Raw genomic sequence first — 27,780 nt, 5'->3', positions numbered from 1 at the left:
GTATTTAGTTTCCAAATGTTCAATTATTACTACTTATTTTGTACCTAGAGGGCTGACTTTAGCATCTAAATGACTCTAAGAGACATGAAATTAAAAGAAATATGGGCCATGCGTATAGTCATATCAGCAAATCAGAAAGAAAGAACTTACAAGAGCCCCCTGGCCTTATTCTCATGAAAAGTGATAAAACAGACCAAAAAAAAAAAAAAAAAAAAGCAAGAAGCAAGGCCTAAGTGAAATTCTTACCAAAAAGGATTCAACAAGTTTGTACCTTTGTACTTCTTGAATACTAATTTTGGCTACAGGATTTTCATACAGATGCTTGCTTTGTCTAGAGTGCTTGTATAGGACCACGGTCAGTTGTGTTTATTTTAGAAAGTCAACTACTTGCTCTCTCAGAATAAATTACTAGCAGGGTTTCTCTGATTATATAAATATAAGAGGATGATCATGTCTCAAATCTGAGAATAACATCCTGAAAATGGTGTTATTCTCCTCACTTTACTTAGCTTTATGTAATTCTAGGGCTAGAAGGAACCTTAGCTATCATTGGGCCCTCTGCTTAATTTACAGAAGAGGAAACTGAGACCTGAGGAGAACAGAGACAGAGACTTGCCTGTGATCCCACAGCTATCTGTGGCAGAATCAGCTCTCCTACCCCCAGTCCCATACTTCTCCCCACATCACTCTGCCTCCCTAAGGGCCTAGTTTATGTGGTGTCAGCTGTTGAATACACTTTAGCTGTGATTCCCAATCTGCTTCTGTCAGCACAGTGCTGGACTCTTTGATTAAGGAATAAGGAGAGGAGAAATTCTAACACAAATGTCTTTGAGGTTTTTGCACAGGATAAACTGTGCTGTAGGAATGTGGGATTTCTTTGGTATTATTTATAGTTTTCTGTGAAGCCAAAACCTAAATCAGAAAGCAAGCACCTTCTTTGTTCTGTGAGAAACAATTTAGCTGACTTAGTAAAATATTTGCTTGCACCAAAAAACCATTCTTCCCCTTGGATTTACCTCCCATACCCTACACACACACACACGCATGCTCACAAGCATGCTCCCAACTCTAGCCCTGGTCCTGGTGGTGTCAGAGAGAATGTACCTTCCTGGGGTCTTGCAGAAGCTGCCTTCATTTCCCCACTAGAAATGATCTTCCCAGGTAGTAGCAATTTGTTTACCTGAAATTTTGAAGGGAGTGGTAACCAGCACTCTCTGAGCCAGGCAGTATTTTAAATATGAGCCAACCCTCTCTATTTTCTAATCTAGTTATACTTTTTTTCCTTTAATCTTTCGTGTGAAGTGCTTGAAGTACTTTAGTGGTGCTGTGCAAGTGGAACTGATTATTGCTAATGTTAACTGTTCTTGTTCTGTGGGAATGATTTGGGTATGTTTGATTTAATATGCTACTTGTATTGTGTATTTCCTGCATTGTGAAACATATAGCAGTAAAGCATTGTGAAACATGTAGTTCATTTAAAAGTAAATAAAGTTACAAATATGAATAAAATGTTTTTCAAAATGCTGCACAAGTACATTATCAATTCTTCAAACATAGATGCATTTAGGCTCCTGAGCTACTGGAATATGAATTTTATTGCGTGTATTTTGAGGCTCTCGTTCACTGCCTTGGAAGAGTGAGTTTATGAGCTCATGAAGATCTCCCTACTCTAAAATATCCTTTTCCCTTCTTATCTACTAGCTGATAAAAGCTGGTATAATAAAGAAAGAACAAGGCTTTTCCTGCTACTAACAGGGATGCACCTTTTGTATAAATGCTACTAGGAGAAGCCAAAGATATGGGGGTTAAATTTATACAAAAGTGCAGATTTCTAAAGAACAATCCTTTGTTTTGATAAAAGGAAAGCTAGAGTACCCAGGATGCTGGGAGAATGGGGAGGGCAAGGAAAAAAAGCAAATCATTCCACCAAGGGGAAGGAGAAAAAGGTCACAGGAAAGAATGTAAAAGAAAAACTCAGCCCTGTTCACTTGTTAATAAAACGTATCGATTTTCAGAGTTCAAGCAAATAACCTCTGAGTTTTGAATGTGGATTTAAGAAACAGTTGCTGTGATTTATTCAGACCTTCATCAAACATTTTTTGAGTGTATATTATGTGCCAGGACCTATAATGGACACTGAGGACGCAGCAGTAACAGTCATGTTTCCTGTCTGCAAAAAACTTATGTCTGCTGGGGAAGACAGACGAAGGGAAGATAATTAAATGCAATGTGAAATGAAAAGATCTGTTAGCTCTAGAAAGGCCTGGAATCTTGATTGCTTCCATGGAAAGATATCTAAGTAATTTTTGAAGCTCTGATATGAGGTAACCAAGAGCCTTTCAAATATTTAGAAGCAAAGTAAGAAGTACATTATTTATCCTGACCCAGTAAATACATATACACATAAAACAGAAAGAACATTTTTGTTAAATAGTAATAACACTTTTTGTATACAGTGTACTTTGTTATTTTCCATTCTGTTTCTCTCCTTTTTAAAAAATGGAGATCATAGCTCATTAACTTGATTTAATAACTCACTAATGGGTCATGATTTACGGCTTACAGATGGAATAGACAAGAGGGAACATGCCAGGCAGATAACACGGTACACAGACAAACAAAAGAGAGTGTCTTTACTACCTTATATTAAACATATCGAGGATCCTTAGACCCTTGGTGTTGTAGCCAGCTTGGAAGGCAGTTATCCCTGATGCAGATGAGGAGGTAGAAATAGAGGGAAGTATTTGTCAGACATTTTCTATGGGTCAACCATTATTCTATTGTTTTACATGTATTATCCCATAGAATTCTCCCCAAAACACTATGATTCAGGGGATATTGCCTCCATTTTATAGATGAAGAAACTGAAACTCGGAGAAGTTAAATGATTCCCCCACGATCCCACAGCTAGACAACATGAGCATGGACATTCAGATCCTATTTGTGAGACATTGTAGAGCAGCATTTAAGCACACAGTTGCTAGCTTCTGCCAGGTAGAAAAACATGTGAATCATGGTTCTGCCACATCCTAGCTCTGTGACCATGGACGAATCAGTTTCTCTGGGCTTACTTTCTTTATCTGTGAAGATGAGTATAGTAATAGGATACCATAAAGTGGTTGTGGCAATGGCAACAAAAGCCACAATTGACAAATGGGATCTAATTAAACTAAAGAGCTTCTGCACAGCAAAAGAAACTACCATCAGAGTGAACAGGCAACCTACAGAATGAGAGAAAATTTTTGCAACCTACTCATCTGACAAAGGGCTAATATCCAGAATCTACAATGAACTCAAACAAATTTACAAGAAAAACACAAACAACCCCATCAAAAAGTGGGCGAAGGATATGAACAGACACTTCTCAAAAGAAGACATTTATGCAGCCAACAGACACATGAAAAAATACTCATCATCACTGGCCATCAGAGAAATGCAAATCAAAACCACAATAAGATACCATCTCATACCAGTTAGAATGGCGATCATTAAAAACTCAGGAAACAACAGGTGCTGGAGAGGATGTGGAGAAATATGAACACTTTTACACTGTTGGTGGGAGTGTAAACTAGTTCAACCATTGTGGAAGTCAGTGTGGCGATTCCTCAGGGATCTAGAACTAGAAATACCATTTGACCTAGCCATCCCATTACTGGGTATATACCCAAAGGATTATAAATCATGCTGCTATAAAGACACATGCACACGCATGTTTATTGCGGCACTATTCACAATAGCAAAGACTTGGAACCAATCCAAATGTCCACCAACAATAGACTGGATTAAGAAAAGGTGGCACATATACACCATGGAATACTATGCAGCCATAAGAAATGATGAGTTCATGTCCTTTGTAGGGACATGGATGAAGCTGGAAACCATCGTTCTGAGCAAACTGTCGCAAGGACAGAAAACCAAACACCGCATCTTCTCACTCATAGGTGGGAATTGAACAATGAGAACACATGGACACAGGAAGGGGAACATCACACACCAGAGACTGTTGTGGGGTGGGGTGGGGGAAGAGGGGAGGGATAGCATTAGGAGATATACCTAATGCTAAATGACGAGTTAACTGGGTGCAGCACACCAACATGGCACATGTATACATATGTAACAAACCTGCATGTTGTGCACATGTACCCTAAAAGTTAAAGTATAATAATAATAAAATAAAATAAATAAATAAAAAATAAATAAAATAAAATAAGTGGTTGTGAGAATTAAATAAAATAGTGAATTTAGATATCTGGCACATGGGAAGTCGTTGATAAATGTTGGTAATATTCATCATTTACTATGAAGCCACCTTTTCCCTGTCAGACAGAGAGACCACAGAATTGGTTGTGACTAAGACGCTGTTTTCTCAGCAGTGAGATAAGCCTCTCTCATCCCATTGCTTGCCTTCAGCAAAGGAAGAAGGATAGACTTTCTGATGACTTTTAGATTTTTGCTCCTCTGGACCCCATGAAGCCTGAAGGAGATGGCCAGCATTCCATGGCTCCAGAATGCTCAGCTCTGTCAACTCATCAGCATTTCTCATCCAAACAAGGCTCTACCCAGAGGCAGAACCTGAAAGGAATTCAGTAGAAGCCACATGATAGAAAGACTCACTGCATATACAGTAGGCCATTCCAAGTCTCCATATATGTTATCAGTCTTCCTAACCACATGATTTCTTCTATTTCCCCTCGGCATTCTTCACCCCTTTCCAGCCCTCTGCTCATAGTTTCGTTCTGAATTTCAAAGTCTTATTTCTTTTACAGTAGTTCTAAGTCTATATGTTACTCAAAGTTGCTACTACCTGAGACAGTTTTTGCCTCAAAGGCTATGTAATATGACAAACGCACTCAGGTCAGCTTCTTGCCCCTCGTTTAACTTAAGGCATTCATAAATTGATTCCTTCATGCCTTGATTCTTTCATTCAATAAATATGGTGTTTGTACTTACCTGCAATGTACCAGTCTGTAGTAGATGTTAAGGGCACAGTGATGAATAAGACCACAGAACCCCTTTCCTCAAGTTTCTCACAGTCTAGATCTATAGGCAATCCAAATAGTATGCAGACCATAGAAATGGTAATTCATTTCCTGATACCCCATGTGTTATGTGCCTTGCAATTATTATCCTATTTTGATTTTTACAACATGCCTATTGACTCCCTGAAGTGAAATTTGCCCAGAAGACCACTAATATTTGAAACTCACCTGTTAAGATAGTGACTGCTCTGGTCCTTGTTAAGCATTTATGATAAAATGTTTTGAAATGAATCAGTATTATTCAATACTGGACCTGCAAATCCCAGTAATGTCTTGATGTTTCATAGCTCTAGTGCATTATGCCACAGTGCTTGGCATAAAGAATTCTCCTTAGGAAACGTTTGTTAAATGAATTAATTCCAAGACTATCTTTCCTACACAAATGTGAGAGAAAATATTAAAATATAAGCCAAGGTATTTGAACAATCCTATGGAAATCCAGTACCAGCTTGGCTGACACCAAGTGCATCGAGTCTGGTTGCATCCTCAGGATGCAGGCTCTACCTGCTGCTACTGGGATTTCCAGAAAATATGTGGTGCTGCAAGGCCTTTCAGGCTGTTTCATTTGTTTGCTAAACTGTGTGACAAACTCTTTAAATTGGGACCTAATTTAATAATGGATTTAGACAAGCACGCACAGCCCATAACCTCTTAGTGAGACAACTTGAAGTAAGGGAAGGGCCCAGGGTGAACCTCATTCTCAACACAGTTAGTCGTTCTATTCCTGGGAACTAAGGCTTGAAGTTATGTCAAGAGCAGTCTCAAGAAAACACATTCCATCCTAGACACTTCGCCTTTGAGCTTTTGTTCTGGGGGAAGGGTGGTCCCACCTGATTGATTTTGGTGGGAGGGAAAAGCTACATCATCATGCAGGTAAGACACTCTGGTCATTTATTTTTCTCTATAGTAGCAAACATGTCTTTTCACTCTACTTCCTGCCCCATTTAACTGCTGGTTAGTATCCTGGGGATGATAAAGAAGAGTGTGGAATGGCAGGATTCTTCACTCCAGTGGTACAAGCTGCTTCCAGCTTCACTTGGCGATGGATTTCTTGAGAACATTTAAGGCAAAGCCATAAAATCCGTGGACTGTGTTATAAGTCACATTTTTGTCTTCTTCCCCTCCAATCTTGGACCCAACATGTTGGCTGTTTCCCAGAGAACATGCCACAGTTAGCTGTGTGCACCCCCCTGCCCAGTACTTGGCACAGGGCTAGCTGACAGTGGTATTTTTATTGCACACATTCATTTCCTCATAATTCTTATTTAGCAAGATCATTAGTTATTCACTTAGAAACATATTGACTATGATATGTTGCAGCAGAATAGGAAATAGAAACTTCTTGAATTCAGAATTACTTTTCTCTCTTAAAAACTTAGTGGGGGCAAAGGTAACTGGGAGGGGAACATGATCAGGTACCTGAAACAGTTTAACAGGATGAAGCAGGAAGTCTGGACAGAGTCTAGACTTGTCAAGGCACTGGTTAAATTCCTATTGATTATATAACTTCTGTTTTATACTTTGTACTGATTTCCTCCAAGTAGATCTGGCTTCTCATCCAGAATTCATAACTTATCGTTATGGATAATGATAGTCGTGCATAGCTTATTGTTTGCTAAAACTTGAGTGTCACATTTATAAAATGGACATAGTACCTAGTTCACAGGCTTGTTGTTAGGATGACGTTAAACTGAATGTATGAAGGAGGCTGCTATATGGGACTTGTTAGGCAAAGGGGAGTTCCTTTTATTGCTTCAAGTACTTAGAGCCTGCCTCCTAAACTGGTGCCTTCTTTAAAGCAGAATAGATTTTGATTCTTCATTTATATTTTGAGACCCATTAGCATAATGCTTACTCTTTCAGGGATTTGCATTTTTAGTTGTATCCTTAATTGTGGAATAAAAGGCTTTGTCTTTAGGCAGCTAATTTTATGCCAGAAATAGAAAGAAGGAGGAGTCATTGTGGATCTGGGAGTTTCCTCTTTCCCCTGCAATCATAGGCTACCTGATTTTAAAAGGTTTTTAATTTTTATATTTCTGTAGGAAGAGGAACAAAAGTATCATAAGTGACTCTTCCATTGACCATCACGTTTTCCTCCATTCTTCTACTTCAAGGTCTAGAATCCAGATCTCATTACTGTTAATGGTTGGCCTGTCATTAATTGATTCATCCAGAAAACCTCTTCTGAGCCACAGACCTCTACCTCACACTCTGCTAGACTCTGGAAATAAAAAGATTAATAAAACTTCTTTTCTGCCATTAAGGAGCCCACAGATCATTCCTACAACCTAGATTCTGCTTACCTCTCCACTAATCCCATGGTAATCATATTTCCAGAAATCTCTCATCTCCGCAGGAGGTACTTTGCCTCATAACCCAAAATGACTACTTTCTAGAACAAACTAGACAGCTCTAGCTAAAAAGGAGAACAGAATAGTAAAAAGTAAGACACAGAATGCTCACAGGAGGATAGGTGAGAGGGGAGGGCATGAAAAAATTGAGGGAGCTTCCCTCTTCCCCCTGCCCAACTGCCAATCATGTAGGTTAGGTTAGTTTCAAGGGAACAAGGAAATAGACAGAAATCACTTGTCCTTAAGTCTCAGTGTTTGAACAGTGTCTGACACTTCTTTAAATTAACTTTAAATACTTGTGGAATGAACTTTTTGATTAGCAGTTAAAGATGATGATTAAATAGAAAGTGGTATTAAGAGAGCCACCAATGATTGCTGGAGTCAAGCACATGCTCCTCTGTTTTCCTGTGGACCACACACAGAACAGCTCTCCTCCAGGCTTCACGTGCTCTTTCCTGTCTGTTGACTCACCTGCTCCCTCCATTGGACTGTGAGTATCTCGAAGATGGAGATTTCATCTCCTTAAATTCTGCTTCCGGACAGTCTGGCATATAGTAACTGCTGAATCAATTAAAATGAATGGATTACAGATGTCACCAAATTGGAGAGAGTTTAACTGTATTTAATATTTTACCTAATTATGTCATGGCTTGCAAATGGTTTACTGACTAGGCTCCTTGCCCCTTGTTAATCAAATTAATATGGAACCCTATTTGGTAATCATCTCAGATTAAATTTTCAAAAATTATTTAACCAGAGTCACTATTCTTATATCAAATAAAATAGACTTTAAACCAACAACAGAAAAAAAAAGATAAAGAAGGATAGTACACAATGATTAAGAGTTCAATTCAACAAGAAGACTTAACTATCTTAAATATATACACACCCAACATTGGAGCACCCGGACTCATAAAACCTTCTAGACCTATGAAAAGACTTAGTCACGCAATAATAGTTGGAGACTTCAACACCCCATTGACAGCTTTAGATCATAGACACAGAAAAACTAACAAAGAAATTCTGGACTTAAATTTGACTTAAATTTAATTCTTGACTTCAATGTGACTGAACCAATTGGACATCTACAGAATACTCCACCCATCAAACACAGGATATACATTCTTCTGATATGCATATGGAACATATTATAAGATTAACCACAAGTTCAGCCATAAAGTGATTCTCAATAAATTCAAAAAAAATTGAGATCTTACCAACCATACTTTCAGACCACAGTGGAATAAAAATAGTAATTACTACCAGGAAGATCTCTCAAAACTACATGATTACATGGAAATTAAACAACTTGCTCCTGAATGGCTTTTGGGTAAACAGCAAAATTAAGGCAGAAATAAAAAAATATTTGAAATAAATGAAATCAGAAATACAATATACAAAAATCTCTGGGATGCAACAAAAGCAGTGTTAAAAGGAAAGTTTATAGCACTAAATGCCTACATCAAAAATTTAAATGTCGAATGGACAGTTGAGTTTGAAGATGCCCAGAGCATATGGATTTGTGATTAAATTGAGAGAGTCCCTAATGAGTTGTGATCATTACAGTTGTATGAGCCAGGTCCCTGCCTCTCTTGTTCCAGGATAGATTCTACAGCCAGCATAGCTCTATGCCTATGAATTCCCACATTAAAGAGCACAGTTGAAGTGCCTATCACACAATGGGTTGCCCAGGACCTGCTACATAATTTGCAGGGGCCCGGTGCAAAATGAAAATGCTCAATTCTTGTTCACAAATTAATAGCAAAGCCGGGCATGGTGGCTCACACCTGTAATCGCAGCACTTTGGGAGGCTGGGGTGGGCAGATAACTTGAGGTCAAGAGTTCAAGACCAGCCTGGGCAACATGGTGAAACCCCATCTCTACCAAAAACAAAACAAAACAACACAAAAATTAGCCTGGCATGGTGGCAGGCACCTGTAATCCCAGCTACTCGGGAGGCTAAGGCAGGAGAATCGCTTGAGCCATGGAGGTGGAGGTTGCAGTGAGCTGAGATCTTGCCACTGAACTCCAGCCTGGGTGACAGAGCAAGACTCTGTCTCAATCAATCAGTCAATCAAAATAAAAAATTAGTAGCAAGACAGTGAGAGCAGAGCATAATGCCAGGTGTGGGACGGGGGAACACAGGTCTCATACCCATGAAGCCATTCCTGTTGACCCCCGACTTAGGACATTTAATTCAAAACTAAAAGCATGATTATTTTCCTTAATATGTAGTATAGTAGAGGTAAGAAACACAAAATCAGCACTGGGAACATTTTCAAGGATCCAGGCCTTATTCTTTTTCTAAAAGAGTATTTTTTACAAATTAAGCATATGCCTGCTTTTATGATATGTAGAAACATTTTCTTCCAGCCATCTTCCTGCTTGAGAAACTACATTCCCACTTGCCCTAAACTGTCAAGGGGCCACTTTGAGTCATCTGTCTTCACTAAAGCAAATCTTTCAAAAGCTAAGTAGCATCATTTCACATTTATTTAGCACCTGCAGGACACTTTGGTCTTCTTGTTCTGCAAAAGTTTCTGCCTCTTGGCCCTTCTCTTCAGGCCTAAGTTTTAAAGAAAATGCATAAAAGTGCCTCAGATGACTTTGAAAAACAGTGAGACCGGTTGGATGCTTGTGTCCTTCCCATATGTCATTGCCAAAATTCAGAGGGTGCAAGATTTGTAAATTCCCCTGACTGGCAACATTACAATTAAGAAAAAAAAAATCATGGCGTTGATAGGGAATTGACAACTAAATTGCACCAAGTAAGAATTCTAAAAATAATAAACAAAAAGGCAAATTATAATATATATTTGAATTGGTTGCTCTTTAATATTGCCATCATTTTCTAGAAGAGAGGGCATTTTAATGCCAGAAGAAACTTATGAACATAATCTGAGCATCAGAAAAAGTCCTCCAAATATTATAAATTTGTAGTTTTAAAACCTCACTAGATAGATCTCCATATTTTTTCTATCCATATAATCTTACCTTATAGCTAAAAAAATTAAAGTAAGCATCATGATGACTAAGTTGTTTAATTCTTAATCTTGAGTATTTTGGATCTAAATCATTCTAAGATCCTTAGGAATGCATTTTTTTTTTTTTTTTTTTTTTTTTGAGACGGAGTCTCGCTCTGTCGCCCAGGCTGGAGTGCAGTGGCGGGATCTCGGCTCACTGCAAGCTCCGCCTCCTGGGTTCACGCCATTCTCCTGCCTCAGCCTCCCAAGTAGCTGGGACTACAGGCGCCCGCCACTACGCCCGGCTAATTTTTTGTATTTTTAGTAGAGACGGGGTTTCACCGTTTTAGCCGGGATGGTCTCGATCTCCTGACCTCGTGATCCGCCCGCCTCGGCCTTCCAAAGTGCTGGGATTACAGGAGGAATGCATTTTTTTAACTTTGTCCTTTTCTTGACAAAGAAAGACGTCTTTTAGATTTTCTTTTTCTTTGTGTACGTATGCTTTCTTCATCTTTTATGCCATTTTCTCAATAAATAATAAGCCCAGACCCATCTTCTGTGATAAGCTGATGCTTTTCAGTGATACTTATTAAAAGATAAAAAGGAATCTTTCATCATCAAAATTATTTTTCATTTTTAAAGTTGTCATTCTTTCTACATTTTAAAACAGACCCACTTTTTGACAGCTTTATTGAGATATAATTGATATGCAAAAAGTTACACGTTTTATACATACAATTTTGTGTGTTTAAAAAAACAGATTTTTTTTAAAGATATCATCACATTATAGTATCTTTCATTGTATTTTATAACATTGTATATTCTACATTGTTTCAAACCAGATTGCTTACCTCATGTACTTTTTCCCCTTAATTGTCTTAAAAGGCAGACATGTCCTTTCAAACTCAGGATTCCATACTTTTATATATATGAAAAAACATACAATTATCTGATTCCACAGGTAACATAATGAGAAAATGTGGTGTGAATTGAGTATAAGTTTGCAACAAACAGGGTATTTAATAGCTTCTAATGCCCTCTAACATGAAAATCTAATTCTCATTTAAATTAACTTTGTAGCTCTTACTGTAGACAAACCTCTTTACTAGTTCCAGTGGCTTCTTTGGAGCCAGTGTCATCTTACTTTTTCTGTTAATGAGGGTTCCTAGGCAATCATCAGGAAGGGGTCTCTGCTTGTGTTTCTGGTTGCTGTAAATCCAGATGAGTGGGGAGTTTCTCCACCTAAAAGGCCTATGCTGAATGAACACCATTGCTGGCTGTTCATAAGATAACTTTTCTCTTTTCCTAAAATTCTGTGTTCCTGCCCCTTTCCTCATAAATGGGGGCCTCCATGATACTTCCACCTCCACAACACACTCAAATCCTCTTATGAGCCCTTGATTACATGATAGATTCAAGTATCCTGAGGATGAGGAGCTGGCAGTGAACATTTAATTCTCACAGTATCTATGAGGGAGCATCATTACTATTCCCATTTTACAGTTAATGAAACCAAGGTTAGATAGCTGAAGTTATCACCCATATTTACACAGCAAAGAAGGACAACATGATAAAAACTCAATTCTGTCCTATGCCAAATACCGGCTCTTAACCTTAATTTCCATGGCTTCTAGAAATACCACATTTTCTTAGATGTATTTGATTTCATATATGCTCTCTCATTCCTGTAGGTACTTAAAATTGTTAAAGCAAGTTCTATAAGTTTTGGGAAATATAGTCATCTAATATATAGTGCAACTCCCTCAGTAATAAATGAGGACGTTAAAGATGGTCAGTGAGTAGATCTTTGACATGAAGTTATACTAGTTCAGATGTAAACCATGGGATGCATTCGTTGATGATGCATCCTTAGCAAAGAGGCATGAGGTTTCCTGCTACAGGATGCTACACAGAGGATAAGACGATTGCAGGATCTTCTGACTGCCTTAGAGCAAGTATGATGGAATGGATACGGGTTTAAGTTTTTCTTCAGTGAGTATTAATTATAAAATACTACATAGGATGCTGTCAGGGGTAAAAAGATGAATCAGACATGTCTTTGAGGATCCAGCTGAAGTTAGTTGCAAAAAAACAGAGGAAAATAATAAGCTATTATTGTGAACACAAATTCTGCTCCAGGATCTGACACCTATGCAGAGGGTAGGAAATAGGGGAGATTTGAGAAGCTAACTATGATGGAGTCTCTTGTAGTAGGTTCCAAAAGCAAAGCTGTATTTTTGTTGTTGTTGTTATCTTTGGCAGTATATTTCCCCTCCATAGGAGGTATACACTACCATAGAATGAAATGATAAGTCCTGTAGAATTCTAACTCAATCAGCCATGCATTTATGAGTTCACAGCAGAGTAGAGTAGGCCAAAAGCTTGGGTTCTGGAGTCAGAAATACCTGGCCTTAAATCCTGGCTTGGCCACTTAGTACCTTTCTTATGACCTCAGTAACATAATTCTTCTCCCTCTAGGCCTCCGCTTTTTCCATAAAATGGGTATAATAGAAATACTCATTTAAAGTTTATGAGGAATAACGTTTGTAAATCACCTAGCGTCTTATACAAACTATTTCAGAAATTAGAAAAGAGAGGGTACTTCCTAGCTTTTTACAATGTTAACATCACCGTGATACCAAAACATAACAAGGTCATTGTAAGAAAGGAAATTTATACTCCAATCTCTCTCATAAACATCAAATTAAACATATCAAATATTAGCAAAATAAATCTAGTGATATATATTTTATATCTAGTGATATATTTTATATATTAGATGACTGTATTTCCCAAAACAGAAAGAATAATATTATCATGACCTGCTGGAATTTATTACAGAAATGAAAGAACGCTTTAACATTAGAAAATCACATTAACAGAATAAAAGATAAGATTCAGATGATCATCTAAATATTACAGGAAAACCATTCAATAAAATTCAAAACTCATCTGTGAACAAAAGTTCTTAGAAAACGTGAAAAATAATGGGCTTCCTAAATCTAATAAAAGGCAAACATTGTACTTTTTTTTGAGACAGAGTCTCACTCCATCACACAGTCTGGAATGTAGTGCCAAGATCTTGGCTCACTGCAACCTCTGCCTCCCCTAGTCAAGTGATTTTCATGCTTTAGCCTCCTGAGTACCTGGGACTATAGCCATGCACCACCATGCTTGGCTAATTTTTGTATTTTTAGTAGAGATGGAGTTTCACCATGTTGGTCAGGCTGTTCTAACTCCTGGCCACAAGTGATCCTCCCAAAGTGCTGGGATTACAGGTGTGAGCCAGGGAGCCAGCCTAAACACCATACTTAGTAATGAAATTTTGGAAGCTTTTTCCCTGGAAACAGGTATGAGACACCTTCTATCACTACTCTACCCTTCTATCACTACTGCTATTAAGGGGAGGTGCAAGAAAAAGTAAGATGATTGGAAGGAAAACAATAAAATGATCCTTATTTTCTGGTAACATAATTCTGTATGTTTAAAATTCAAAATAACTAGATAGACTGCTATAATTAAAAAGTAACTTTAGCAATTTTACTAAATAACAAGGTTAATATCAAAGTAATCAGTTGTATTTCCATATAACAATACTAAACAATAAGAAAACTAAACATATCATTGACAGTAGGAGTGAAAAACATTAAAGTCATAGGAATAGAACTGACAAAAGAGCACCACTATACAAAAAAGCCACAAATGTTATTAAAGGAAGATGCATAAATGTGGGGTATACCTTATTCATGAATAGGAAGATGCAATGTGGCAAAGATTTCATTTCTCCCAAACTGATATATTGATTCACTGCAATTCCTATCAACATCTCAGAAGATATTTTTTATTTATTTGTTGGTGATGGTGATAGATTAGACAAAGTGATTCTAATATTAATATGGAAATATAAAAGACCAACAATAGGCAAAACACAGAAAAATGAAGTCAGAGAATTTACATTATATGATGTTAGGATTTATTATGAGGTTACATAATTACAGGCAGTATGAAATTGGTATAAGTGTAGACAAGTAGACCAATGGAATAATATAGAGTGCAGAAACAATAACACACACATACAACCTCTTGATTTTATGACAAAAGTAAAATTGCTCTGAAGTGGAAAAGGATGATCTTTTTAGTAAATGACACTGCATCAATTGGATATCCAACTTTTTTAAAAATGGCTCTTGACCCAACCTCACACTATACACAAAAATCTTTCTACATGGATTATAGATAAAAATATAAAATGTAAAACAATAAAAGTCTAGAAGATAATATTGAAAAATAACTTCCTAAGTGTGTGATAGGCAAAGATTAAGTATTAAACAGGCACAAAGCATACTAATCACAAAGGAAAATATTGATGAACTACATTAAAATACAAACCTCTGTTCATCTAAAGACACCATGAAGAGAATGGGGCAAGACAGAGCACAGGAAAAGATATTTGTAATCCAGACATCTGGAAAAGAAATTTATCTTCAGAATATGTAAAGAGCAGCTACAAGTCTTTGAGAAAAAAAAAACATTTTTTTTTAATGGACAAAAGACTTGAACAGGCATTTCTTAAAAGAGGATATGTAAAACGGTCAATTCACATGAAATGGTGGTACTCCCAGAATGGCTAAAATTAAAGACTGTTCATACCAAGTGTTTGTGAACATGTAGAGAGTCTCAAACATTGCTCATGGGAAGTAAACCACCACATTGGAAGATTTTTTGTCAGTATCTATCAGAGCCAAACATATACCCTATGATCTATCCCTAGGTATATACCCAATAGTAATGAGTACATGTGTTCAACAAAAATATATACAGGGATGTGCATGGCAGCATTGTTTGTAATAGCCTAAACCTGGGAATAACCAAATGTCCATCAACAATAGAATAGGTAAATAAATTATGGCATATTTGAACAAAAGGATAATATACAACAATGAAAATCAATAATAGCAGATAGGAATCTTGCAAATATTATATTAAGTACAATAAGCCAGACACACACACACACATACACACTACTATATGCATATTAGTTTTCTAGGCTGCTGTAGAAACAAATCACCACAAATTTAATGGCTTAAAAAAACGTAATTATCATCTTACAATTTTGTATATCAGATGTCCACTATGGGTCTCACCAGATTAAAGTCAAGGTATCAGCAGGCTGTGTTTCTTTCTGGAAGTTTATTTGAATTGTTGGCTGAATTCAATTCCACGCAGTTGTAAGACCAAAGTCCCTGTTATCTTGCTCCTGTCAGCCTAGGGCCATCCTCTTCTAGAGGCTGCTGCATTCCATGGCTCGTGGCCCCCTTCTTCCATCTTCAGAATCAACAATTGCAAGTTGAGTGCTTCTCATGGCGTATCTCTCTGACCCACTTGCAAAAGATACTCTGCTTTTAAGGATTGATGTGATTAGATTGGATCCACGAAGGATAATCCAGGATAATCTCCACATTTCAAGTTTCTTAACCTTAATCACATCTGCAAAGTCTCTTTTGTTATGTAAGGGAACATATTACAGATTCCAGGGATTAGGGATGAGGGGGTGTTATTCTGCCCACCACAATATGATTTATATAACATTCAAGAACAGGCAAAATGAACCCATGATGATGGAAGCCAAGAGCGATTATGACCCTTGGGTCATGTTGCTAGAATAGGAATAACAGTATTCATTTTAATAAAGCGTTGTTGCAAGTATTATAGCCAACAGTAATGTCAATTGCCTTGTAAAGTGCCTGTCACAACATAGCCCTGTTATTTGTCATTTCCTGTTTCCTTCCCTTCTCCCAATTCCACCTTCATCATTTCACCTGTAATAATGCTGCAGTCAGGACTTCGATGCAGAATAAGATATTCTGAAGACTTGCAGACCCTCTGTAATGGTGCTTCCTAAACTTGCCTGGTAATGAATATTCCTCAGAAATGAAGATATAAGCAAGAACCCCAGGTGCTGCTTAGGTAAAAGGAAGTTTGGGAAACACTGCTTTTAGAAATTTGCTTACATGAAACGCTGTTGAAAACACAAAGAAATGCTGAATGATCTGCCCTAGCTCCATCCAGAATACCACTTGCTACCCTTTTTAAGCCACCCAAAGCAAATCAGCTGTGCTATGCCATTGAAAAACAAGTACTTCTTAAAATATTGGACTAATTAGATAGGATTCTAGAACTTAATCTTTTGCTGGAAGTATCAGTCTGTGGTTCTAAGGATCTAGCACAGAACCCAAACAGAAAGTTGCATAAATATTTGTTAAGTTCACTGAAATTAAAGACGGCATCTGGTTGGTTTGTTGTTGTTGTTGAGACAGGGTCTTGCTCTGTTGCCCAGGCTGGAGTGCAGTGGTGTGATCACGGCTCACTGCAGCCTCAACCTCCCCAGGCTCAGGTGATCTTCCCACCTCAGCCTCCCTACTAGCTGCAACTACAGGTATGCACCACCAGGCTTGGCTAATTTTTGTATTTTTTGTAGGGATGGAGTTTGGCCATGTTGCCCAGGCTGGTTGCAAATTCCTGGGTGCAAGCAATCCACCCACCTCCGCCTCCCAAAGTGCCGAGATTATAGGCATGATCTATCGCTCCCAGCTTGTTTATTATTTTTTTCTATTAAAGCACGCTGCAGTTGCCCATGCGCATGACTTCTTGAATGTGCTAAGAAAGAAATCTGGTAAAAATTGAGTCTCTGTAACATTCATTTCACATACTCGACCTCAAACTTTTTCATTCATTCGTTTTACAAACAACTGTTGATATCCCATATTGCAGACAGTTAGACATGTCCAAGGAATACAAGGATAAAAGTACTCAGTCCTTGCTTTAGGGTACTCCCAGTGTAGTGGAGGGACCAATAATAAAAGAACCTCCAACTCCACCTCCCCACCCTACACTGAATTTGGAACTCACATTGATCAAGAGCAGGGAGCCACTGCCATTGTAAATCAGGTCTCAGCCTCTTTCCTACTTCATCAAGTTCACACTGGCTTTCTTTCCAGGGAGGGGCCAAAAATCGCCTTGTTTACTAGCTGCCTCTCTGCTTTATCTCATTGTATCTCAACCTTAGCTCGAGGTAAGAAGCACCTGTAGAGCTCTTCAAAACCTTGATGTCTCACCCCAGCCCAGACCTACTCTAAATCAGAATCTCTGGGAGTGGGTCCCCAGGCATTAGTGTTTTTAAAGCTTTGCTAGTGATCCCAGTATGCAGCAAATCTGAGAACCACTATTTTATCTTTTCTTTCTTTTTTTGGTTTCTTTTCTTTTTAAAAAAATTACCTTTACTTCCTCAGCTCATGTTTAAGCTGAAAATAATCATTTCTTTAAAGTCTCAGATTTCTTGCATGGAAGTCTAGTGCAAACCTGCAGCTAGCTAATGAGAAGGCCAGTTCCTAAAATGACTTTCAATTTTAATCACATTTAACATTAGTTGACTCAGAATTTGGAAACCAACCTTGAATCTGATGCTACAATTTGCTAACACTCAGCAAAAATAGAACCCCCTGTTTCAAAAATAAATAACTTTGTAAAACAGATTGAAAAGGTTGGTAAGATTTCTTGAAAATCAGAGTTCTCACATTTACATTTTGATTTCCAGTGATGAAATGAACTGATTAGAAATTCTTAATTTTCATGAGGTCCCTTTGAAAATGTTCAGAGTGCAGCTGAGCGCCAAAGAACATATTAATAGTTTGAGTGTGCGCATATGTGTGTGTGCACATGTGTATATAGCAATGACTGGGCTTGCAGTAAATTCAGGTACAACTAGGTTTACCCAATCCTCATTTCTGGTTCTGGTTCTTACTGCTCCAGTCTTCCCGACTCCATAGTACACTGCTCCTCACTCCCCTTGCTGCCTGCCTCCATAGTTTGACCCTAACCCTAGCTTTTCCCCTCTGTGTTCTTGTTTACCCATGCCACTCCCCTGACTTAGGCTTAGCCTATCCCAGGCCTCTGCAATTGGTTGGCATGGAAACATTAGGCCAGCCTGCCTGGTGGGAGGGATGTTCTGTTTCCACGTGAAAATGGAAAAGATTCAAGTGTCATTCGCTTCCAGCCATTTTAACCCTTGAGTTTCTCCATCTATTTAAAACATACCCACTGCTCTTGATCACCAAATAGGTAAAGAAGACTATTTTAACTTGGACTCTGCCTACCTCTACACCCTCCTCTGCTGCTTCCCCTAAAAGCCCTGGATGGAGCCTCAGGAAGCACTTTGTTCCTTCATTTCTCCTTTCCTTTGCACAGGCCCTTTCTTCAATCTGCATACTGTCTCTTCCTCCTTCCCATTCAGTTTATGGGGTTCTTAATGGTTTTTCAAGACTCCATTCAGGCACCATGCCTTCCTAGAGGCTTTCACCTCTGCACCTACTCTCATAGCACTTCCGTTATAATGGTTGTAGAAAATTCCAAGATTAAGGGACTATTTTCCTCCCTAGATGGTGAGTTTATTAAAGGAGAGGCATGCTACTGTGAGGAGTATGTTTCTCATACTCCTGGGGTGAGATCTTATCTCTGTTCATTACTAGAATTAAGATCTTGCACAAGTCACTTATCTTTTTAAGCCTCAGTTTTCTCATACCTGAAATGGAAATGATGGTACCTAATATGCCTACTATTTATCAGATGCTGACTATGTTTTAGGCATTTTCTCATTTAACCTTATTTAATCCCTACACCAATTCGGTGAGAGATAAAACATTATTGACCTATTTTTACAATTAGGAAAATATGGCTCAGAGTTGAGAAGCCTGTTCTAAATCACACAGCTCTTAGGTGGCAAAGCCAATAGTCAAGCCAAAATCTAACTCTGTTACTCTGCTCTAGTGCCTGTATATGCAAGTAAAGCACCTAGCCCTGTGCCTGCCCTTGAGGAGGGGGTGGGGACAGATAATGGATGGAAGAATTAGTGATAAATTGCCTTGGAAAAAGTATGATCCTAAGCACTCCATGGGGATCCAAATGGAAAATTAAACTCTTTCCTCTAGTCTAGGCCTAATGTGCACCATTTCTCCAAGTGTGTGGTAAAGGTCAAGTATATAAGACTTCTATCACCCATGTTTATACCTGTGTGCTACTTCAAATGCATGCTTCCCTCCCGCTCAAACAGTTGCCCCCCCTTCAAAAGCAGCTAAAGGTAAACTGGCTCCTGGAGAACTGAAAAGCAGAAAGAAATGATCTTTGAATAGCTATTAAATCACCTTGACAGCTGCCACCTGGCAACAAGCCCTCAGTGTCCCCTGTTCCCGTCCTTCAGTTCAGTATCAGTCCCTTACTGCTTCAGCGGACAAAGAAGAGAATAGTTAAGTGAGTCCCATTTAAGGGGACATAATTAACCTTTAGAGGTAATCATTCAGTACCATTCAGTGAATTTCTATAATTTTCCTTTCTAACTGGCAATTTAGCAAAAGAAAAAGATGTGCTGTTATTGAAATAATTTCCATTTTTATGTACAGATAAGTGTAAAAGTCTTAATTAAAGGATCCTGTGTTAGAGCTGAGTGTATGTAAATAATGCCTGGAGTTTCAAAAGCAAAAAACAAAGCTTGTCAGTTTGTCTAGGGCCAGTCATCACACGATGTTTGTTTTCTATAGCATGCTTCACTAATGGATTTGGTTACCAAGATTACTCATTTTAAAATTATAGTTCTGAAATTATCGAACAGCATGGCCTCCTACAGAATCCTGGAAGCAGTGAATTGAATTCTGTCATATTGCCTCTCTCTGTCTCTCTCTCTCTCCCCCTTCCCCCCTTCTCAATATACATGCATTAAACATATTTCCTTTTACGTTCAAAAGGGCTATGCAATTGTTTTCCCATGTTAATACACATAATTTTTTTAACACCACAGACAATAACAGTTCTAGATCCAGTGCCAAAACTGTGATTCACTCCAGCCTGCAACATAGATTAGACAATTAGACTATTCTTTGTAAAATACTGACTTTTATTTTAGATCTGATTTTTTTTGTGGAAAATAAAAGACCATGAGTATTGATAAATAATGTTTTTGTGTTAATTTTTAAGCAACCTGTACTTGAGAGCCAGAATAGTGATCCATTTAAAAGATGAGGTTCTTTGATAAAATGATGCATTTAAAAGATTAGGTTCTTTGATAAAATGATGTGGGTTTTAATTTGTTTCTTCTGTTTACCGGTTGTGTGATCTGGAAAATGTTGTTTTCTCTAAGTCTCAGTTTTCTCCTCTTTCTATTGTGGATAACAAGAGTACCAACCTCATAATCATGTTGTATAAATAAAATCAGATACTATTTATAATATGCTTAGCATAGTGTTCAGTCTATATGTAAAAGATGCTCAATAAATGGTAGTCATTATTTATTATTATTATTATTATTACCTCATTGCATAGTTGTGAGGATTAAATGAGATGATGCATTAAATTGCTTGACACACTTCTAGGCAGATTGAATGTGCTTAATAAATATTACCTCCATTATGGTTACCACAGATCTGTTACCCTGTCTGTTCGATAGTTGGTTGCTATACTGCCAGTCCCTAAAGTTCCCTTCTTTTCCCTCTTTGCTTTGTTTACTTCTCGTCAAATCACAGGGTTCCACAGATGTTTAATTAGCTTACTGTTTCCCTTTTGCTCTGTTTTCAATCATGTCTCACAAGTCGAAACATTCCTTTTTCCCACACTGATACAGATTCGTGCAGCACCATGGACCTAGCTTTGAGTTGTGGTGCCCCTCTTGTTAGCTGGGCAGCCTTGTGCCAATTACTTCCATTTCCGGCTTTTAGATGTTTTTCACGTAAACCACATAGATAGGAAGAGGTAAACTCTGGGATCCCTTCCTGTCCGACATCCACTGACTCTCACGCTCGGTTTTAGTCATGGTCTTGGGGACGCTGCATAGTACAGGAGCCCAGGTCTTAGAGACCTAGTATTTGTAGTAAATATAAACACTGGACATGAAAAGGGGACATTCTTACCAGTAGCATTTCAATATTTTTACCTAGTGTGATGTTTGAGGAGTGTTGAGACCCTGGGGTTACACTGTCAAAATTTCATAGTATGAAAATAATTCTCAGCTTTCCCAAAAGGACAAGCATTTAAATCCAAGTACCAAGTATTTAAAACTTGACCACATGTCCTACAGAGAGAGTGATATCCAACCTGTATCTATGTGGCTGCCTTTGCCCAAGAAAGGCAAATTCTATTTTACATGAGGACATAATTCTGAATTAATAAGAAAAATTCAGTAGAAAACGATAGGGCTCCAACATGGCTAGTTTAGGAGCAAACTTTTCCAGCAGGGTTTTTTTTGCTTGGAAATAGAAAGGGATTATATGTCATGAATTTCAAATTTCAGGTTATTTCAACTCCAAGGTTGGCAGAGAGATTAAGGATGAGAGTGGGGAGAAGGGAGGATGCATGCAAAGATCCCACACATGCCCTTATACACTCCTAGGTTGTTGTCAATAATGGGAAATACATTTTCGTTTTTGGGTTTAAAATCAATTGTTAGATAATCTCGTAAAATCAGATTCTCCTACTTTGTGTACATTGTAACTAAAACTCAAGCCAGCTTAATGGGAAATTTCAAAATTCTGTCATTTCCAGCTCTCAGGGCTCCTCCATCTGCCCTAGTTGTGCTTGGAGCCAGAAAGGAGCACAGAGCCAGATTTCTCATTAGCACTAAACCTGTTGGACCAAGAATATGACAGCATATGAAGCCCTGCTGGGGCAGGTTGGCTACAAGGCTGGAAATGGTTATCTCAGGTCTCTGAAGCCTGTATGTTGGTATAGAAGGGCATGTCTAGGGTTAAAAGATTGCCTGGCTTAGGAAATCTTCTAAGTTTATTTCAATTTGTAGGCCATTTGTGCCCATAATGAAATAAGTCGAACCAAGGGAAGTACTCTTCTTCTTGCCATCTCCTTTTTGGTCACTTTCATCTCTGATTTAATTCATCCTATGATTTGATGTAAATATTAGGTTAAACCATATGAAACTATCAAGGTTTCATATGATTCAGCCTAGTATTTTACTTTAAAGGGGGGCTTCTGTTTGAATGTGCTGACGGCTTGCTATCATTTGGTTGGCTAGAAAGGTTCTTGGACAGCAGAGGGTTCAAAATGGTGGCTGTGTAATAGAAATCCACCATAGTTTGTTGGATTTTAAATTATAATGATAGAGCTAAAAATGAAATAAAGCAGTTCATTCATTAGCCTGCTGCCCCAACAAATAGCATAATCAACTCTGCTTTTAGCTTTTATATTAGAACCAGCTGTAGTATCTGAAGGATCTCTCTCTCTCTTTCTCTCTCTCTCTCTCTGTGTGTGTGCGTGTGTGTGTGTGTGTCCTGATTTATTTATCTGAAGTATAATTATGGATTGCTCCTGATTTATGATGGCTTGACATAGGATTTTTCAACTTTTCAATAGTGCAAAAATGATACATGTTTACCAGAAATTGTAGTTTAAGTACTCATAAAACCATTCTGTTTTTCACTTTCAGTACAGTATTCAACAAATTACATGAGATAATCAACATTTTACAGGTTGAGCATCCCAAATCTGAAAATCCAAAATCTGAAATGTTCCAAAATCCAAAACTTTTTGGGTGCTAACATGAAAAGGGAAATGCTCATTGTGGAGTAATTTGAATTTCAGATTTTTTAAAGTACATATTTCAAAATCTAAAAAAAAAAAAAATTGAAATCTAAAACATTACTGGCCCCAAGCATTTCAGATGAGGAATACTCAACCTATACTATAAATCAAGCTTCATTGTTAGATGATTTTGCCCACTGTAGGCTAATTTAAGTACATTTAATGTAGGCTAGGCTAAGCTATGATGTTTGGTACGTTAGGTGTATTAAATGCATTTTTGACTTACTGATATTTTCAACTTACAGTGGGTTTATTTGGACACAATCCATCCAAAATCAAGGAGCATCTGTATATACACTGAAATGCATGGATCAATGGATTTTAATAAAAGCATGTATATGTAGTCACCACCCAGGTCAAGATACAGAACTTTCTAACACCCCGTAAGACGTCCTCATGCCCCATTTCAGTCAATCCTAGACCTTGTCCCCTACCCTGAGAAATAACTACTATTCTGAATTTTATACCATAGATTAGCCCTGGCCTATTCTTAAACTCCATGTAAATTTAGACTTGCAGTCTTTGTTCTTTCATGTCTGGCTTCCTTGGCTCAACATGATATTTATAAGAGCCATCCATATTGTTTTGTATTTGAGTAGTCTGCTGCTTTTTATTACTTTATGTATTATTCCATTACATGAATATAATACAATTTGTTTATCCATTCTTCTGTTGAAGGATACTTGGATTATTTCCAGTTTGTGGCTCTTATGAATAGAGTTGCTACAGACTTTCTTGAAGAAATCTTTTTTAAAAGATGCATTCATTTGTTTTGGGTATATCCAGGAGTGAAATTGTTGGGTTATAATCAAATACTTTAAATAAATTGCTAAACCATTTGCTAATAGTAGTTGTAGGAAATGTAGTAAGTGTCCATGTGCCTTGCTAAGACTCTGTCGTGGATGGACGGGAGGAGTCCTGTTACTAAAAGAGAACAGCGGGGACAGTGGGTACTGGGAGACAACTAACAGACCCCACCATAGTGCCCATAGACAATATTTCATGAATACATTAACTGAGACGGTTCTTCTGTGAATTGAGAGTATGAGATTTAAACATGTTAAATTAAGTTTAGCCTACAGCTGCCTCCTTACATATTTTAAGTTTGGCCTAAAGGTTTCTCTGTACATCGTGAACTATAACAAGTGGAGGTGTAAACAGACCATAGCCTACACTTGTGCCAATCATGGAGTTTTGGCCAATCAAATGCAGCCAACTATCCAAACCGTGTTCAAATAAAGCAAACACCAACTGTAACCAATCCAGCTGTTACTGTACCTCACTTCTGTTTTCTGTATGTCACTTTCCTTTTCCTGTCTGTAAATCTTATGCCACCATGTGGCTGCGCTAGAGTCTCTGAGCCCGCTGTGTCTCAGGAGGCTGCCCGATTTGCGAATCGTTCATTGCTCAATTAAACTCCTTTAAATTTAATTCAGCTGAATTTTTTTTTCTTTTTCTTTTTCTTTTTTTGAGACGGAGTCTCTCTCTGTCGCCCAGGCTGGAGTGCAGTGGCGCGATCTCTGCTCACTGCAAGCTCCGCCTCCCGGGTTCATGCCATTCTCCTGCCTCAGCCTCCTGAGCAGCTGGGACCACAGGCGCCCGCCACCATGCCCGGTTAATTTTTTGTGTTTTTAGTAGAGACGGGGTTTCAATGTATTAGCCAGGATGGTCTTGATCTCCTGACCTCGTGATCCGCCCGCCTCAGCCTCCCAAAGTGCTGGGATTACAGGCGTGAGCTACCGCGCCCGGCCTTTTTTTTTTTTAACAAACACTAACGTATGTTTTCAAGTAGCAGTAGCTCTATTCCTTTAAACAGAGGTCAACTCCGTGAAGACCCTGACAACTGTATGGGCTGACGTTCCTAAAGGGAAGCAAAATTGTTTTTTCTGATTTCAAAGATGATGAGAAATACTAGTGGAGATGTTAAAGGCTTTCAGTACCTCTGATGCATCTTTCACTATGATAAGATTGTTTTTAGCTTCTGGCTGCACCCATCTAAGGTTTCCTCACTCTTAATAAAACAATAAATGCCTACGGATTTAGATACATAGATACAGATTAGCTAATTGTTTTTGTTCATTATGTTGTGTTTTAAAATTTCTTTACTGACTACAACTATAGTATATATACATATATTCTATAAATGTTAGCATATATTAGCATATATGCTAGTATGTATAGTAGTGTATACTGACTACCTTTTAACCTCTGGTTCCTAAGAGCTTAAATCCTCTGTGGATCTCAAGTTTGTGTAAATCTTTTAAGTATGAAAAGATAATTTATGTTTTTAAGTAGCAGCTCCTCCCTTTCTTGAAAAGGAGTTAAACACCAAAGAATCACCGATGACTCTGTGGAATGAGTCTAAAAAGTAGCATAACAACTAGTATAGTGAAGTCACTCAACAAATGTATGTTCCCTTCTCCTAGTATCTCAAGTCACAGATAAGTAAATCACAGCGACAGTTTAGAGCGGTAAATGCTATGCATTATGAGATACTAATGTTTTTATTGCTACCTTTCATGGCTTGATAGCAGAAAAATGCTGACTGCTGACTGCCATGAAATGGAAGAAGTATGAAGTTCTCACATTTGTGGACAATAGTGGAACACTGCAAGTACTCTTGCATGTATTGTTCTGTGTTCCATTCACAAACCTGGCTTTTGCAGTCCTTTAGAACATAGCTGATAATATAGAAAGTAAGAACTGCAGGAAGCAGCTGCACCTTTAACTTGCTGCATGACCTTGAATAAGTTTTTAAACTCTTCGAGTCTCAGTTACTTCATATTTAAAGTGAGTATAAAACCAGTTCTTATCCCATAGGGTTCTTATGAAGATTAACTAAGCTTATTCTGGTAAAGCTCTTCAGAATATTATGTGGCACTTAGTAATCAATCGTTGTTGCTGTTACCACTGTTGTCTCTTCTGGAGTTATTTCCCTGGTCCCACTGCTTTAGAAATTAGTTGGGACATTTATGTTTATTTCTTTGCTTGCTTGCTTACGTGTTTTGTTTTTTTCTCCACGTTATTAAATACCATTGCCGAGTGGGTCGTAAAAAGCTCATTTCCCCTGTTAGAAAACACAAAATTTTAACCAATTTGATTTAAAGATTGAATTGGCTTTCATTCATGAATCAGGCAGCATCTCATCCAAAGACTTAGATAAGGCACTCCAGTGAGCTGAGGAGAGGAGATTGGCTTTATAGGCAGAAAATGGCTCAAGAAAGCAGAAATGGGAAACAAAATTGAATTGGGCATTTTAAAGCTGTCCTCCTCATAGGGTTAAATCAGAGGAAACTTCCTTATCCTTCTGGCTCTGTTAAACTGGGCCCCTTCTGATTGGTTGCTGTGAATCAATCAATCTCTCTCTCTCTCTCTCTCTCTCTCTCTCTGTCTTTGAAAACTGGTCCATTTCAAAGTTTGATTATATGGCACCTAACATTAATGACTCTATTCTGATTTGCTCTGGCCTGTTGGGCCTAGTGCAGGAGCTTAGTCCAAACAATAGCCTCCCATAAATTTCATTTAACACCCTTTGAATTTAAAACAAAATTTTAAATTAGTTTTTGTCTTATAGATTTTCTTTTTTTAAAGCAGTTTTAGGTTCACAGCAAAATTGAGAGGAAGGTACAGAGATTTCCATATACCCTGCCCCCACACATGTGTAGCCACCCCCATTATCAAAATTCCACACCTGAGTGGCACATGTGTTACGGTTGATGAACCTGCATTGACACATCATTATCACCCAAAGTCTATGGTTTCACATTAGGTTTTTCTCTTGGTATTGAACAATACATGGCTTTAGACAAATGTATAATGACATGTATCCATTATTATAGTATCGTATGGAGTACTTTCACTACCCTAAAAAACCCTGAAATTTGACAAAGTGTATTTTTCAGCTCCCAGAAACACTTGTTTCAGAAAAAAGCAGGTGAGGATATTCAGTTCCTCAAAAACCCAAAGATGAGTTGACCAAAAATATGACTCCAAGAGAATTGTATTAAAGAAAAATATATTCTCAGAAGTTTTATTCCAAGAACACACTTGAAATTCAATCTTAACTTGGTAACATTTGCCTGTGCTGGCTGGATGATAAACACACTTGAAATAGGTGGAATCTCTTATGAATAAAGGAAGCAGTTTGAAGCATTGTCATTGTGAATATAGTAAACTGCTGAAGATAAATTTTTCTAGTATATTTGGAGTCTTGGCATGAAAGCCTTCATCATCACAGTGCTGTCTTTTTGTTTTTAATTTAGTTTAGTTTAGTTTAGTTTAATTAGCTTTTCAGCACTTTCTGCAAGCTTGAGCAAAGATATTCATGAATATATTTCTGCTAAACCACAGTAATGAATTATTTATTTTGAAATCTATCTATATTTTTAGCTACTCATACCAGCAGTTTAGAGAAATAAAAACCTTTGGGATCTTATATCTGACTTTTCTGAGGTGAAATGTGACATGAATTGAAAATAAAAGAGAACAGATATTTGCAACTTGCATAGCTGGTAAAAAATCACTTCTAGAATACTATACATGGAGAACTATAAAGCAATCAGAAAGATTCAAACAGCCCTATAGAAAATGGGTAAGGACTTTTAAAACAAAGAGGAAAAAACACAAATTACTTATTAACATATGAAAACATGCTTAAAATCATTGATAATCAAGGAATTACAAGTTAAACTGCAATAAGGCACCACTCACATTTACTAAACTGATAAAAATTATGAAGTCCAGTTGATTCAAGTGTTAGAGAGGATATGAAACTGTTAGAATTCTCATCCACTG

At 37.8% G+C, this 27,780-nt stretch overlaps 1 protein-coding gene across 63 annotated transcripts in view; it reads left to right on the top strand.

The window, feature by feature from the left end:
* The window catches only part of DLG2 (discs large MAGUK scaffold protein 2), a 2,173,362-nt gene that overhangs the window by 1,996,991 nt on the left and 148,591 nt on the right, over nt 1-27,780 (top strand). The window contains exon 14 of one of the 63 annotated variants that reach the window (NM_001377975.1): nt 574-1,531. The exons of the other annotated variants lie outside the window; for them this stretch is intronic. Within the exon in view, the coding sequence (NP_001364904.1) occupies nt 574-586 (13 nt within the window). The 3' untranslated portion in view covers nt 587-1,531. Of the gene's footprint in view, nt 1-573; nt 1,532-27,780 lie in introns of those variants that run through there. 63 annotated transcript variants of the gene reach the window in all.

This window comes from Homo sapiens, chromosome 11 (assembly GCF_000001405.40).
Source record: "Homo sapiens chromosome 11, GRCh38.p14 Primary Assembly".
NCBI lineage: Eukaryota > Metazoa > Chordata > Mammalia > Primates > Hominidae > Homo > Homo sapiens.
Note: the sequence above shows the minus strand (reverse complement) of the source record. Positions and strands in the feature narration are given on the sequence as shown.